At 49.7% G+C, this 17,737-nt stretch overlaps 1 annotated feature.

The window, feature by feature from the left end:
* Positions 9,387-9,556: an enhancer, noted in NCBI's record as "experimental_110694 CRE fragment used in MPRA reporter constructs". NCBI's record gives its function as "activates a minimal promoter by MPRAs in K562 erythroleukemia cells, with activity observed for both the introgressed and non-introgressed 9:98335967 variant alleles {active_cell/tissue: K562}" and the evidence as "EXISTENCE:reporter gene assay evidence [ECO:0000049][PMID:34662402]".

Below are 17,737 nucleotides of genomic sequence, written 5' to 3'. Positions count from 1 at the left end.
ACCATTCTGGCCAGCATGGTGAAACCCCGTCTCTACTAAAAATACAAAAATTAGCTGGGCATGATGGTGTGTGCCTGTAATCCCAGCTACTCGGGAGGCTGAGGCCGGAGAATTGCTTGAGTGAGCCGAGATCGCGCCATTGCACTCCAGCCTGGGCGACAGAGTGAGACTCCGTCTCAAAAAAAAAAAAAAAAGTCTGCCTTACTATGTGCTACTTTCTTTATTAATTCTACTATTTACAAAAGCTCAGCGGGATCTGACACTTAGTAAAAGAAAAAAACGCACAGTTAAACAATTGAAATAATTAATTTAAATGTGTATAAATTTAGTATATTTAATACTAAATATTAGTATAAATCTGGATCATACCTTAAAATAATATTCCCCAACCCATTTAGCATCTATCAATGGCCTGTGGTCCGGATGTCCCGTCTTATCTACTCCACCAGCTCCTCCACCATCATCCTAATTCCCCATATATGTTCTGTTCAGCATCTCCACAAAAGGTACCACTGGCTCTGGGAGGCCCTGTGCCCTTCCCCCATCCCCCCTCACCCATTTACCCCCCCCCGCATTCAAAATCTTTAGCAATCCCAATCTTCATATTATAACTTGAATTGAGGGGACAGGTCTTTGCCGTCTACTGAGAATGGCCCAGAGGATTAGATTCCTTGCCCAAAGCCACACAACAAATCAATGAAATGAGTTCTTTCTTCTGTTCTTTCTGTTGTTCTTCCAACCTCGTAAGATTTCTTCTTGCCCCAGAACATGCGAGTCTGAGAAGCACTGTTCAGATATGGATACTGTTGTGTTTCCATTTCAGAGAAAGCAAGAGACAGCCATCAACCGATTTGCTTGCCACACTCCTAAACTATACACAGACAGCAGGACGTTCCGCATTATGATTCCCATAACAAGTTTACTAACACAAAAAGAAAAAAGAATGACAGAAAAGAAAGAAGAAAGAAAGGAAAAAAGGAGAGAGGGATAGCGAGAGGAAGGGAGGGAGGGAGAGAGAGCCTGCAGGGGAAGTTGTGGAAAGTCCCCTTTGCAGGGGGGATTAGGTTTTAGTTGCTCAAGGAGCTGTAGGGAGGGGAAGGGTGGAAGCCGAGGAATTCATGCCACCCAGTTGGTCAGTTGGGAATTGTTTACAGCCCTGAAGGAGATTGGCTTTTGTGCTGCTGACTTCAAAGTGTAGTCAGATATTAACATACTGACCCCTTCACCGTTTCCACCCCCAAACACAGTGGGGGTTAGGAGGACCATCTCCAGTGGGGAAACTGAGGAATGAAAAGGGGAGCTGGGAAAAGGGAAGTGAGGAGACTAGGAATGCCCCCAAGACTGTGCTGTTAACCCAGTGCTAACATTGGCCACCAAAGGCAGGACCCCTTCCTCGTAAGCCAGCCGGCCTGCATGCTGCGGTGTTGAAAGATGAAAGGGTTCTCTTTGGGACCAGAGATACAGAAAGTCCCAGGTGAATGATGAAATCCAGCAGTCTCCAGGTGCCTTCCCTTCAAGGTGGGCAGTCTCGGTGACCCGCTTTCCTGCTGGCCCTTACCAGTCCTAAGGCCTGGCAGCAGCAGGCCACGCCCTCCCTGCAGCCTTCAAGATATCTGCCTCCATGCCGTGCTTGGATTCCCCTCTCCGTCTCCTAGGAAGAAAGGCTGCTGGAAATCCAGACGCCCCATGGAGGGGACTGGTGCCAAGTCGTCTGGGGCCCTTTCCCCGGGGAAGCAGGAGGCACAGCCAGCCTTGCCACCGTGCCCCAAAGTAGGATGGATGGCCCCGTAAACCGATCCTCACTAATGTAGCCTAGGTGCTATTTCATATAAATACATCCACCCAGACATTTCCCATCAGCACAGCGTCTTTCCCTCAAGGCCTGGCTTTCGGAGGTCTCTGCCCCCACCGACAGCCTCCAACCACCCGAGTTAATGACATACTAGGGTGGAGAAGGGAGTATGTTAATTGTCTTTGCAATGGCAAATAAGGGAGCCCCAAAGCCTTCCCTTTCTTCATTTATCATCTTCTATAATGTACCTATCACATCCCCGGCTTCTCTCATCTTTGCCAAACTAAACAGCCTTAGTCTTGCTAATCTCTCCTCAGATGGAGGCCTGGGCCATAAATCTAATCACTGTAGAAAGAAGGCCTTCCCCAACAGTGCCTTGGGCGCTGGGTACAGCACACATTATAAAACACACAGCAGATAATGACAGAACTGCTGTCACAGGACATGTTATAAAGTGCAGATGTTGTTACCACAATGTGCCTGTTGTGAAGTTTACGCTGTAAATGGGTAAATGGGCCCGCTTGCTATGGGATAAAGGCAATTAAATTTGCTCATCCACCCCACCTACTCTCCTCTTTCTCCTAGGTCCCTACTTGGTACCTTATGTTTGAATGAAATTGTGGGTGGAAAGTGGAAAAGGGGAACTCCTCACTGGTTTTGCCAGAATAACATGAAATTAAATCCCATTCGCTTTTTGAATCAATTTCAAAAGGTAAAAGGACTTCATGGTTTTAGTTCAACGTGTGGTCTATATGCATTTTTTTCAGTAATGGGACACCTTCTCAGGACCCCAGATCTGATTTAACACTCCCCCATGACAACTTCTCATTCACCTCTTCCTCCCAATCGTGAATGTATTAATGCCTTTTTCAACAAGTACTAAATTTTCATGGTGTTCTGCGTTCAGAAAGCGAAAGGAGCTGGGGGGTCTATACATCCTTAGAGAAGATCTTTAGGCCTGGTGACGTGGCTTATGTTTATAATCCCAGCACTTTCAGAGGCTGATGCAGGAGTTCAAGACCAGCCTGGGCAACATAAGGAGATCCCATCTCTAAAATATACATATATATATATATATATATATTTTTTTTTAAGGCTATCTCTAAAGAATAGCACCAAATGGGTTAAATCTCTCATAGCACATTTCAGGGATGCTAATAAGGTCTTTAAGGAAGGCAGATGTGCTGAGAGTATCCCTTGGGCCATCAAGGAAATCTTCAAATTCTTCTTTGTATTTCTTTCTTCTCCCAACAGTCTTCAAAAGAAGAGAACAGTTCCAAGAGACAGGATGTATTGGCAAGAGGAACTATTAAGACCATTGTTACTTCTGTTTAAGCATCTGTCCTGGAGCAAAGAACCGAATTTGAGATTTGGGGAGCACTGAGTTGTGCCCCCATGCCAGTGACCATGGAGAAAGTCCTCTGGCTCAGCTCTCCCCAGGCAGGGCCACATCACAACTGAGAAGCTTCGTTTCTGGAACTTGAGAAATTCCAAGATTGCATCTTTTCTAGCCTTCACCTTGGGCAGTAAATAGATTGAAAAAGACCTAGTTCCAAGTTACCTGGTGTGTTAGTCAAGGTTCTCCAGAAAAACAGAACCAATAAGACAGAGACAGAGAGAGAAATAAGAAGAAGTATTATAGAAAGTGGTCATAACACCAGAGGATCTGCCATCTGCAAGCTGGAGACCCAGGAAAGCTGGCATTGTAATTTAGTCCAAGTCTGAAGGCCTGAGAACCAGGGAGGCCACTGGTGTGAGTCTGGGAGTTCAGAAGCCCCAAAGCTGGGAGCTCCGACATCCAGGGATAGAAGATGGATGTCCCAGCTCAAGGAGAGAGAGAATTCACCCTTCCTCCACCTTTTGTTTTATCTTCGGCCTCTATGGAACTGGCGACACCCACCCTCATTGGTGAGGGCAGAGCTCCTTCACTCAGCCCACTGATCCCAGTGCTCACGTCTGCTGGAGACACCTTCACAGACACACCCAGAAATCAAGTTTCATCAGCTGTCTGGGCATCCTTAATCCAGTCACACCGACACCTGAAATTAACCATCACATCTGGTGAACCGTGCTTCTCCAACAGGTCACAGTAAGAAACCTGAGGAACTACCAGGAAATCCTCAATTCCAAGAGTGAGCACAGACCATCTTACTGAGCCATCAATTCTACCCAATGGCATGTCATTGAAAACATTAATGTGTACATTAAGACAAGCACTTTCTTTTTTTAAGAGCACATTTATTTGTGCATTAAATGCAAAATTCACATACACTTTTAGGTGGGGGGATGATGCAATGAATTTTGAGCTTGTGAGCTGCTGCAGAAATCCCATAGCCCTCTGCTCATATATCTCCCTCTTCTGCAAGTCAAGTTTGAGAAGCGTCTTAGTGGGCCATGCCCAACCCCTAAGAACACAGAATGCAATGGGGGTGGGGTTGGGGGGCTGGATAGAGAGGCCAAAAGAACTGAATTCATGACAACATTGCAGAAATATGGGTGAGGAGTAGCTTAGAAGCACAGGAGGCTGTTCTGAGGATCACAGGGTCCAATCTTGGAGCCCAGGTGTTCCAAGAGCCATCCTCATGAGGTTCAGAAGCTAGGACAAGATAAAAACACTGGAAGGCTGATCCTTCTCATAAACCAAAGAGTTTCCCTTCCCCGCTTAGTCTGTGTTCTCCTGACCGAGACCTTGAGACAAGAATTCAAGGGCAGGTAATTTATTTCGGAGGGGATCCCAGCATGGGGAACAACAGCAGGGGAGTGGGGAAGGGAGACGGAGAAGGACAGCCAGCCAAATAAGGATCCATTATCCAGCAAGTTCCCACCGTGGACAACTGGAGCTTGACCCTCTTGGTCTGCAGAATTCTGGAAGGCACTATGGAACACAACCTCTGATGCATCCCACCCGAGGGGCAAGGGTGCTGGGGTACTTGTACACCACACTCCATGGCCATTGGTGGAGGGCAGCAGAGGGGAGGAGAGTGGTCTTTAATTCCCTAGCACTTTGGCCTGGCTTGAGTAGAGCTACCCCAGGAGACAAAGAAAGCCCTCAGGCAAAGCGTTGCAGGGTCTGGTGGTTGGAAAGCAGCACGCACTGCGAGGATGAGGGTAAGGGTGCTGGCGAGGCACAAACAGCCAACCGCTCTACCCTCTGCATGGAGGAATCTGGTCCTCTTTACTGAGGGTTAAGTAGCAGACATGGTGGCAGAACTGGGCTTGTAGATAAAAACGATAGACTACCGCCACTAAACACATAGGTCAGGCAGTGTGCTTGGGGCTTCTTATTTGGTCCTCCCAGGAAACTTCTGGGTAGGTACTGGGATTAAAGATAAGGAAGTTGACCATCAGAGCTTGAGGACCTTTGGCAGTGTCCTACAGCAGAGCTTGAGGACCTTTGGCAGACTCCTACAGCGGGTGAGGCTGGGGCTTCAGCCTAGAGTCCATGATTTTAACCTCTGCATCTGCAGCAAGAAGGGACTGCCTGTCCTTGTGGTCACTGCCAAGAGGCATAATGAAGTTTTGTGACATGTGACTGAGCCCTCCCACCTAGCCACAGTTTTTTGGACCAAGGGGTGGGAAGCTGACCATTTGACTACCCAGGGCCCTGCGTGGCCTGACTTGGAAAGATGAGCTGGATAAAGCAGATTCCTATGGTGAGATTTAGATTGGTACCTGGAGACCTAGGCAGTTAGCAAAGTGAACTGGGGGTGGGGATGAAGCCACATACAAAGGCAGCATTTCTTGGTTTGGCTTTCCCAGTACCATTCCTTCCCTCCCTCCCTCCCTCTTTTCCTTCCTTTCTTCCTTCCTTTCTTTTTCTTGAGACAGGGACTCACTCTGTTCCCCAGGCTGGAGTGCAGTGGTGTGGTCATTGCTCATTGCAACCTCAAACTCTTGGGCTCAAACAGTCCACTCGTCTCAACCTCCCAAATAGCTGGGACTACAGGCATGTGCCACCTGCCTGTGTAATTTAGTTGCTGTTTTTCTGGTCTCCTCACTTCTCCATTTTTTTTAAAGAACGACCTTCCCCATTGTATGCAATCTTGAGGTCATTGTCAGTCAAGATCCCCTGCCATCTTGGACCCAAGATTCCACTGACTCATGATGGGACAACTGGGACTCCCTCCCTCCAGGGAATTTAACTCCTGAGCAAAATGACTCAGAGAAAGCAGCCATTGAGATCAGTGCTCTAAAGTGATTGTCCACTCTGTGCCACTACAGAGATCCATGGCATATCGTCTGTGAGGCCGGGACACAGGGTTTCTCTTTCACTGCACGTGCTGCCTGCAGCAATGTCATAGGCGTCCTGCCCACATCCCTGGTACTCACTGCTCCCTTATGCGGTTCCTGTTATCTGGGGCTGCATAACAAGCCACCCAGAAACTTAACAGAGTACAGCAATAATTTATTGTTACCTCTCATGGTTCTGGAGGTTAACACAACTGGCTGGTTGTTCTCATACAATTGCAGTCAGTCTATGACTGAGGCTAAGTTCATCTGAAGTCTTCTTCACTCACCTGTTGGTGTCTGGTCTGGAATAGCTGGAACATCTCGGAGCTAATCGAGCCTCTCTTTTTCCTCTTTCCCTCCCTCTTCCTTTCTTTTTTGTTTTTGTTTTGTTTTGTTTTGAGACAGAGTCTTGCTCTGTCACCCAGGCTGGAATGCAGAAGTGCTATCTCAGCTCACTGCAACCTCTGCCTCCTGGGTTCAAGCAATTCTCCCGCCTCAACCTCCTGAGTAGCTGGGATTACAGGTACGCGCCACCACACCCAGCTAATTTTTGTATTTTTGTACAGACAGGGTTTCACCATGTTGGCCAGGCTGGTCTTGAACTCCTGACCTCAGGTGATCCGACCGCCTCGGCCTCCCAAAGTGCTGGGATTACAGGTGTAAGTCACTGCACCAGGTCCCCTGTCTTCTCTCTCTCTCTCCATCTCTCTCTCTCTTTCCATGCAGCCTCTTCATATGGCTAGCTTCGGCTTCCTCATAGCATGGCGATCTTGAAGTAGTTGGACTTCTTCCAAAGCTGCTGATTCCTCTCAAAGTGAGTGTTTCAAGAGACTCAGGCATAAGCTGTGAGACATCACTTTCACTCAATTTGATTTCAGATTCAAGGTGCAGGGGCAGTCAAGGAATAGACTCCATCTCTCAATGCAGGAATAGCTTATGCACACAGAGAGGGAAGGGGATGATGGACAGGAACCATCTTGGAGATAAACCACCACATAGCCATCGGCTCTTTTCACCTGGACTCTGCCAGAGAACATTCTCTGACTGGAACTGTATTCTGCTTGCCTGTGGCAGAATTCAGGAGAGTTAACACCCCCAGATTAACTAAGGATAGATGGGAGTTTGAAGATAAACGCCCTGGCTTCTCCCAGCTCGGGGGCGGGGTTCATTCAGAGGCAAGTCTGTATAGTTCCCCAGAGGCCCCTAAAAAAACCTGCTCTCCTTGTGCCCTGAAATCGCGGCCTTCCTTCCTCAACTCATCTCCCCACTCCACCTGTGCTTCCTGAGATCACCTCTCAGAAAAAAAATCACTTGCACTCAAACCCCTTTCTCAACATCTGCTTCCAAGGTATCCTACTGAACACATGCCCCGCATTCTTCCCAAGTACTTCCCTCTTGGGTAGGTTAACCGGAGTTGGTTTCTTTTGCTTACAACCAAAGACTAGTAAGGGCTAGAAGGAAGAAGTGGCTAGAGAGAGGATGGGGGGGCCGTGGGGTCTGGGTGCCAGTTAGCGTTGGAGGGACATGGTAGCGGGTCCGCAGAGGAGGCTGCTCTAGGGAAGAGTGTGCAAACGGAGTGTCCACACGGAGAAGCCACAACAGAGAGGCCGGGCTGCAGGCCCTGCTCCCATTCCCACGTGTGGTGCACGGTCTCTGTGGACTTCCAGGTCCTCACAGTTCCACAAGATCCCTTCTCCTTCTAAGAAGGTGGCTGAACCCCCTCATGAAAGCAAGCAATTCTTAGGTGTGAAGGGCCCAGTAGAGCCATGCAGATAACCCTCCCGGCAGACAGCAGTGTCCACAGAAACCTTCTTCCTCCCTCTTCTCCTCACTCCCTCCCCACCCCTCAGGGACTGGCCTCCGTGTGAGCTCCATGACTCCATAGCACATGGGATATTCCCCAAAACAGCTCCTTTAACAAGGCCTAGGAGGATTCGTGGAAATGAGGGCATTAGGTCCTTCCCTAAGGCTCATGCGAGGGCAATAAAAGTGGGAAAAACTATCTCAATTAGGAAAAAGTGGGAGATTCAGTGAGAGCTGATGCAAGAGACTGTGGGAATGCAGAGGACAGCCTGGGGGCGGTGCCATGGTCTGTGGGACTCAGAGGACAGCCTGGGGGTGGTGCCATCATCTGTGGGACACAGGAGAGAGCCTGGGGGCAGTACCTTCGTCTGTGGGATGCAGAGGACAGCCTGGGGGTGGTGCCATCGTCTGTGGGGACGCAGAGGACAGCTTGGGGGCTGTGCCATCGTCTGTGGGACGCAGAGGACAGCCTGGGGGCGGTGCCATCGTCTGTGGGACGCAGAGGACAGCCTGGGGGTGGTGCCATCGTCTGTGGGATGCAGAGGACAGCCTGGGGGCGGTGCCATCGTCTGTGGGACACAGAGGACAGCCTGGGGGCGGTGGCATCGTCTGCGGGACGCAGAGGACAGCCTGGGGGCGGTGGCATCGTCTGTGGGATGCAGAGGACAGCCTGGGGGCGGTGCCATCATCTGTGGGGATGCCGAGGACAGCCTGAGGGTGGTGCCATCGTCTGTGGGACGCAGAGGACAGCCTGGGGGTGGTGCCATCGTCTGTGGGATGCAGAGGACAGCCTGGGGGCGGTGGCATCGTCTGTGGGATGCAGAGGACAGCCTGGGGGTAGTGCCATTGTTGTGGGATGCAGAAGACAGCCTGGGGGCTGTGCCATCGTCTGTGGGGTGCAGAGGATAGCCTGGGGGCGGTGCCATCATCTGTGGGGATGCCGAGGACAGCCTGAGGGTGGTGCCATTGTCTGTGGGACGCAGAGGACAGCCTGGGGTGGTGCCATCGTCTGTGGAGATGCAGGGGACAGCCTGGGGCGGTGCCATCGTCTGTGGGGACGCGGAGGACAGCCTGGGGGGCGGTGCCATCATCTGTGGGGACTCGGAGGACAGCCTGGGGGTAGTGCCATCGTCCGTGGGGATGAGAAGAGATGGAACCTGAGGGTAGGAGGTGGACAGAGAAAGAGAAGCAGGAAGGCACCAAAAACCAGCTTGGCCTACATGGGAATCTGCTTACAGCAGGTCTCTCCACTCCTTCCTTCTTTGAGAGAGATGAGGAAACCATGGTTAACTTTGGAGCAAGGCACAATGTAAGAACTAGGTGGTAGAGAATTATGTGCGCACTCAGCCAATGCTTTGAGCCTGCATTAGGTATTTCTATCAGGAAATCTTCAAAGTCTCTGAAAACAGAGACATTACTCCTCAAAACAGGAAAACACCCATTTGGAAATGTTTGTGGGAAGCAGCTGGGATGGAAAAGTTCAATGATTTATCCAAATAAAACCAGAAAAATCTGTCCCTTTTAGACTGGATTCAGAGAAGAGTATCCGCATAATTCATCGTCTCAAGCTGGACACTGTTGAGAGTGAGATGGGGCGCGGGTGGTGCTTACACATTGACCAGGATGTCCCAGGCAGCAATGCAGGAGTTCAGGAGCCTGGGGCTCGTTCTGCTTTACCTGCGGGAAGGTGTGTCTGGCTGGCAAGTGGAGGTCTGAGATCTGAACGTAAACAACACTGGTAATTGTCACATTCCTCCTTGGTAGATGTCGAATACTGGGAAATGCCCTAGGCTCAGAACTTCAAGATCCAGATCAAATCCAGCCCTACCCCTTCCTGACTGAGAGACCCTGAGCAGATCTCACCTCAATCCACCAATTCCCTCTTCTGTAAAATATGGGTGATTCACCCCATTCACGAGGTTGTGTGTGTGAAAGCACCTTGTAGACTCTTGTTGAACAAATGCACAGTATCATTATTATTTGACCATTCACTGGGAAATTTGGACACTCCAAAGCATAAAAAGCTTAGACACAATACAGGAGTTCTTAAAAGCTCTGAAGAGAATTGCACCTGTTTCCATTCTGGCCTCAGCATGCATGGATTCTTTCTTCTGGAAGCACGTCCTATGACAGCCCAGGCCCTTGAGCTTTCAGCTCCTTTCTCATTGGAGAGGAAGAGCAGCTCAACCTCTAAGGGAAGAGGCATGTATACCCCCGACTGCCTGACACCAGGCAGCGTCACCGAAACAGACCGGCGGCAGGAGCAGCTTGCGTTCAGCAATGGGATGCCTCCGTGGCCAGCTTGTGGGTAACATGGAAAAACTTACAGGACATGAGAAGAAGGAGACGGGGGTTTTCCGCTGTAAGGGAAGACCACACACATAGTCCCATGAGGACTGTGCCCTGGACCATCTTCAAAACCATGGAAGCCGCGCTCTCTCCAGCCATGCGTAGGCCTGGTTTAATTAAATGTGGGCCATGAACGGGCTGGCAACGGCGACGCAGAGACGCTGTCCGTGTCTGCGGGAGAAACGTCCCGCAGCTCCGTGTCCCTGATAAGATGGTCCATGTGGAGAGCAACCTGAATGCCTGGCAGATGGTTCCATCTGTTTTTCCATCATTTTGAATTTAGCAGGAAACCCTCAAGATGTGTTTTGACACAAGTGTGCTGCTTCCCTTCCCCAAGTTTGGAAATGGCTGTGTTTGGAGGCTAATTAAATCCAGATGCTTCTGATTCATTTACACTTAACTCATCAAAATGTTTTGTAATCGCCATTTGAAGTCCAAGGCGCCTCTCTTGAGCCTTTTTTTTCTGAAAACCAGGAAGTTTTGATTTGCCAGCCAACAGCAGTGTTCATGTACCAAAAGGTTCAAATGCGGTTCAAGACAAGATCCTAGACCCAAGAGATCATAATGGCTGGAATTGTCCTAAAGCATCATTGTCAAATGTGGGGTGTGACCAGGCACGGTGGCTCACGCCTATAATCTCACCACTTAGGGAGGCTGAGGCAGGCGGAACACTTGAAGTCAAGAGTTCAAGACCAACCTGGCCAACATGGTGAAACCATCTCAACTGAAAATACAAAAATTAGCCAGGTGTGGTGGCACATGCATGTAGTCCCAGCTACTCAGGAGGCTGAGGCATGAGAATTGCTTGAATCCAGGAGGCGGAGGTTGCGGTGAGCCTGGATCATGCCACTGCACTCCAGCCTGGGCACAGAGCAAGACTGCATCCCCTCTCCTGGTCCTCCTCCTCCCTCTCCTCCTCCCTCTCCTCCTCCCTCTCCTCCTCCCTCTCCTCCTCCCCCCTCCTCCGCCCTCTCCTCCCTCACCATCTCCCCCTCCTCCCTCTCCTCCTCCTCCCTCCCCTCCCCTCCTCTTCCTCCCTCCCTTCCCTCTGCTCCTCTTCCTCCCTCTCCTCCTCCCCCTCTCCTCCTCCCCCTCTCCTCCTCCTCCCCCCTCTCCTCCTCCTCCTTCTCTTCCCTCTCCTCCTCCTCCTCCTGGGATGGGTTTGCATAAAGTGTCCTTAGCCTGGAAACTGCCATGGGGGCTTTCAGCTCTTGGGTGCCATAAAAAACAGTTACTTTGAAATATTTGGTGGCCAAAGAGAAATCCAAGTCATTAGGGAAAATTATAACCAAAATGACAGCAAAATTCTCTCATCTGGAAGGGCTTTGAGTCCAGGTCGTCAGTCAGACATTGCTCCCATTCCTTGGGCTTTTATGAGACTGTGGAAGAGCGAATGTATGTGGACGGTTCCAGAGCATTCTAGCAATTATCATTTTAACCCTTGCAGAGCACACTAATTCCGGGCCGGTTGCCCATTTGTTCTTCTATGAACCAGGCCCTGTTCTAAGCCCTTTGCAGTACATGATTCAGAAGGCCTGATTGTCTTCTCATTTGCCGGCAGGAAATCTAAGGCACAGAGAGGTTAAGTAAGTAGCCCAAGGCTTCCCAGCCTGGGAGGTTGTAGAGGCCAGATTCAAACCAGGCCGTTAGTCTGACTGGAACTGGAGAAACTTCCTCGCTCGACCATCAGGCCACGATGCCGCTCCGCATGGAGATCTAGGTAAGTGGAGGCGCGCACCCCAGCTTATTAGAGCCAAGACACGCAGATGTTTTCACCTACTAAAACTCTACCCTCAGCCATAGCATGGACCCTTCACTTAGCCCAAACAAAGCCTGAGAGGAGACCAAGGCCCGGCAGGCTGCGTTCTTTCACTCCTTCCTTTCTCTCTCCGCTGTGTGAATGAATTGGAAAACTCCCGCACCACACTTTATCTGCAGGGTAGCAAACAAATGTAAGGGTGCAAGGAGGCAGCTTGTTCCTGGGACTCTCCTGGCAGCTCCCAGGAGCAACTGAAAACCCGCAGGTGATCCCAGCCTCCAGCGTTGGCACTAGAGGAGCGCCAGCATCTTACAAACGCTCTTCCATGAGGGAGGTGAGCTCACTTCCTGAGGAAGTGGCTGCAGGGGGTGTCTGTAGGGGCCAGCCAGGCCTGGCTTGAAAGCATCTGAAACAGCCTGCGGTGTAATCGAGCATGAGTATTGGTTCAAACACATGATGCATATTTGTCCACTTGGTTATTAGTTATTCACGCGATCGTCCTTAGCCCGTGAACTGCCATGGGGGCTTTCAGCTCTTGGATGCGGTAAAAAACCAGTTGCTTTGAAATATTTGGTGGCCAAAGAGAAATCCAAGTCATTAGGGAAAATTATAACCAAAATGACAGCAAAATTCTCTCATCTGGAAGGGCTTTGAGTCCAGGTCGTCAGTCAGACATTGCCCCCATTCCTTGGGCTTTTATGAGACTGGAAGAGCGAATGTGGACGGTTCCAGAGCATTCTAGCAATTATCGTTTTAACAAACAGGGCTCTTTTCTAATACTCACATTCCTTTCGCATGGCCTCACGAAAACACAAACATTCACTCCATCCGCAAAAAAATGCAGGCGCTCTGGGAGGAAAGAGCCACCCGCTCAGCCCCTTCGCCGGGCTGCAGCCACAGGAGATTGTATCTGCTCCCGGTTTCCCGTGCGGACTGTGTCTGACTCCGCTGAGAAAAGATACCGCAGCCCTGGGTGGCCACTGCCACGGCCAGGCGAGAGATCCGGAGCGCTGGGGACCCTCCATGCAGGAGGCCGGGCTACGGTGGTCAGAGTCGGCCCTGCAGATGGGGCTTTCCCTCCAGCATCTTCATTTTGGAGAGGAAGGAGAGGGCTCCCTGAACCCTGTTTTGAGGACTGCACTGATACAGTTCATACAGTTCTTTCATTTTCGTCTGATTTTCTTGGGTCTGATCTGTTACCAATCTCAAAGGGAAACAGAGTAAGATTTTGGACTCAGCCACTGCAATTAACCTCATAACCTACCCACACGTCCAGAAGTGTTATGAACGTATATGTCAACATGAATTCACCTCTACAGGTCCATTTTAGCTGGGGGGGGGGGGGGGAGGGTGTCAAGTAAAATCAATTGGCAACCTATATTGATGAGCTATTTTCAAAACATTATTATCTGAGAGAAATGAAAGTCAGATCCAAGAACGTGACATGCTCTCTCCGAAAGCAACATCAGGGATTTTCACCTTCTATAGTAGGAGTTTCTCACTCTTCCTGACACAATCAGGTAAATTATTATGTGATTTTAAAATGTTTTTAAAGAAAGGGAAAACAGCAATACCTAGAGACACTCTCCCCCACAAGGAGAGTATTTTGCAGATTCGCTGGATGTTCAGTGTCCTTGTGTGCCCAGAGTTGGTTCCTGCCAGTGGGTTCATGGTCTCCTGACTACAAGAATGAAGCCAGGACCTTCGCAGTGATTGTTACAGCTTTTATTCATTCACTCATTCATTCATTCATTCATTCATTTTTTAGACGGAGTTTCGCTCAGTCGCCAGGCTGGAGCGCAGTGGCGCGATCTTGGCTCACTGCAACCTCCACCCTTGGGGTTCCAGCGATTCTCCTGCCTCAGCCTCCCGAGTAGCTGGGATTACAGGCGCGCACCACTGCGCCCAGCTAATTTCTGTACTTTTAGTGGAGACAGGGTTTCACCATGTTGGCCAGGATGGTCTCACTCTCCTGACCTCGTGATCCACACGCCTCTGGCTCCCAAAGTGCTGGGATTACAGGCTTGAGCCAAGGCGCTCAGCCATGTTACAGCTCTTGCACAGACCCAAAGAGTGAGCAGTAGCACGGTTTGTTGTGAAGAGCGAAAGGAGAAAGCTCCCACAGCCTGGAAGGACATTGGAGTGGCTTGCCGTCAGTGGCTGGGGCTGGCCAGCTTTTATTCCCTTATTGTCCCGGCCGATGTTCTGTATCTGTCCTATCAGAGTGCCCTTTCTTCAATCCTCCCTGCGATTGGCTACTTTTAGAATCCTGCTGATTGGTGCATTTTACAGAGTGCTGACTGGTGCGTTTTACAGAGCGCTGATTGGTGCGTTTTACAGAGCACTGATTGGTGTGTTTTACAGAGCACTGATTGGTGCGTTTTACAATCCTCTTGTAAGACAGGAAAGTTCCCTAAGTCCCCACTCGACCCAGGAAGTCCAGCTGGCCTCACCTCTCACTTGCACAGCACTCCACATAGAGAGAGAAAGGCTGTTCACTCAGCTCGCTGTGCATTATCCACTCGGAATAATTGTTCTAGGAGTGGGGAGATGCAGTGAGTCCGGGAAGGAAGGTCTCTCACCCCTTCACTCCCAGGGTGACCTCCCTGTTCCCAAGAGAGGGCCAGCGCCAGGAGCAATGATGTCCATACACACCCCACACAACACCACAGACACCCAACACAACAGACGCCACACACCAGTACATGCCCCCCACACCTCATAGACTCATACTACACACATCACACATCTTGCACACATTACACACACACCACACAACAGACACACAACACACAACACACACCACCACATGACCCCCACATGCCCCATAGACCATGCATCCTACACACATCACACACACACCACACGCACTGCACACACTACACCTGCACCACACAACAGACACACACCACACAACAGACACACACCACACAACAGACACTACCACATGCCCCCCACACTCCTCATAGACCACACATAATACACATATCACACACACCACACACCCTCCACACACTACACATACACCACACAACAGACACACTGCACAACAGATGCCACAACCACCACATGCCCCCCACACGCCCCATAGACCACACATCACACACACACTACACACACCGCATACATACACATCACACACCACACACACACTACATCTACAATACACACACACCACATAGACCACACATACCATACACATTAAACACACACCACCCAACACCTCCCACACACCTCATATATGCCACACACTATCCCATACCATATGCACACCACATGTGCCACACATACACATACACCACACATACACAGCACACACACACCACACAAACCACCCACCACCCTGTACCCTACACGCACCACATATACCACACATACCACATACCATGCATACACACTGCATGCACTACACATACACACAACACACATCACACACACACCACCCAACACCGCTCACACACCACACATACACACTACACACACACGTCACACACCCATACCATACACACACTACATACACCACACATACACACTACGCACCCACACCCTGTACACACCATAGATGCTACACATACACACCACACAAATACACAAACACACCTGCGAGTGCTGACTTCCCAGGCAGTGAGCCCACTGTGCTGATCTGTGGTCAGTATCTGAAGGGCAAACAAGGGCTTCAACTAGCACCGGGCCTAATTTCGGAGGCCATTATGCAACTGCGTAGCCAAGTGTAACAACATCCTGTGCTACTTCCAAGAGCACAATGGCCGGTCCCCCTCTGTGAGAAGGGGGACCAGGAGGTGGGAAGACGTTGTGAGGCACTAATTTTACCAAAACAAAGTGGAGGCATTCCATATTCTGGAAAGTGTGATTGGCGCTGATTGTGTGAGTGTGAAAAGGAGCGTAAACCTCAGCACTAAATGAGCGCTCTTATTGTTTGGGGCATTTTTTAAAGCAAGTAATAATTTTTTTAAGTAAACTGTGATTTACAATTTTTCTGAGAACAACCCAAATTTCCATCACTAAGGGCGGTGTATACTAGAAAGCTCTTAAATAGAATGAGGCTGATCTGTGATGTGGCCCTGGAAATGGTCACTAAGACGTAGGGTCCACCGGGGAGAAAGACTAAGTGAAGAACCGTGCACAGAGTATGCCATTTACATGAAAAGAGAACTTTATTCCACGGCTATAAACACGTGTGTGAATGCAGAGAAAAAAGACTTGCAGGATCCAAACCTGAGGATCGTTATCTCCCAGGAAGAAAGTTGGATTGTCCTGCAGAGAGAAGCAAGCAGCAAAGAGGCTTTTCCCATTTCACTCTATATGTTTCCAATCTACTTAAATCTCTGAGAATGGAAAATACATTTGGGTATCAATTGCATAACTTTAAAAAGCAACAGAAAAACAGAAAGGGACGTGCTTGCTTTGGCAGCACATATACTTAAAAAACAAAAAACCCAGAAAGTTGGGGGAAGAAGTTGGATTCATACCCATAAATGAGAAGTATAATTTGTTTAAACGGCCGGGCGCGGTGGCTCACGCCTGTAATCTCAGCACTTTGGGAGGCCAAGGCGGGCGGATCACTTGAAGTCAGGAGTTCGAGGCCAGCCTGGCCAACATAGTGAAACTCCGTCTCTACTAAAAATACAAAAATTAGCCAGGCATGATGGCACACACCTATAATCTCAGCTATTCAGGAGGCTGAGGCAGGAGAATCGCTTGAACCCAGGAGGCAGAGGTTGCAGTGAGCCGAGATTGTGCCACTGCACTTCAGCCTGGACAACAGAGCAAAAACCTGTCTCAAAAAAAAAAAAAGAAGAAGAAGAAGTATAATTTGTTTAAATGCATGCCTAAATTGGCAGGACACCCTGGGTTTGGCGGCTCTTTTAAAGCTGAAGACACTTGCTAGATTGCTAGTAGAATACAAAGAGGCTTATAAAACACCAAAGAGGCTTATAAAGCATCTTCAGTGTGCTGCAGGCCCCTAACCCACTGCACAGCAGAGGACCTCCTGGGACTTGCAGGCAACAGGTGTCACCGCAGGCAGAGAGGTCACCAGTGTGAGTCTGGAACCAGAGTCCAGCTTCCAACCTGCATCGGCCACATGCCTGCTGTATGGTCTGGGCCATTCGCTTCACCTCTTTAATGGAGTTAAAAATAGTACCTACCTCAGTCATCAAAGAGTGACTGAAGCCAGGTGCAGAGGGTCATCTCCGTAATCCCAGCACTTTGGGAGGCAGGCAGATCTCTTGAGTCTAGGAGTTTGAGACCAGCCAGGGCAGCATAGTGAGACCTCATATCTACAAAAAAAAAAAAAGCCTGGTGTGGTGGCACCCACCTGTAGTCTCAGCTGCTCAGGAGGCTGAGATGGGAGGATCACTTGAGCCTAGGGAATTGGCGTGCAGTGAGCTGAGATCACATCACTGCACTCCAGCCTGGGTGACAGAGCCAGACCTTGTCTCAAAAGAAAAAAAAAAGTGAGCTAAAAACATGGGAAGTGCTTAAGCACTTCGTGGGACAATTTCTAATTGTTCTAGAAATATTGGCTATTATTATTGAAGCACCACTAGGGATTCCTAACCGAATGCATAACATCACCCCAAATCCAGAATGCAGGAGAAGTTTCCACTAGCCAGAGTCAGGTTTCAAGGCCCCACACTCGGCACTGGGCAAGTATTTGTTAAGCACTGTCAGTGTGTCCACCTCGGAGGGCTCTGCCAAGGAGTGGAGCCGGAGCCTCTCCAGGACCCTCATTCAGGGACATTAGCAGCCAGTACCAAAAAGAGATAAGGATGCACTGCCCA

The sequence above is a fragment of the Homo sapiens genome, chromosome 9, assembly GCF_000001405.40.
Source record: "Homo sapiens chromosome 9, GRCh38.p14 Primary Assembly".
Classification (NCBI taxonomy): Eukaryota; Metazoa; Chordata; class Mammalia; order Primates; family Hominidae; genus Homo; species Homo sapiens.
Note: the sequence above shows the minus strand (reverse complement) of the source record. Positions and strands in the feature narration are given on the sequence as shown.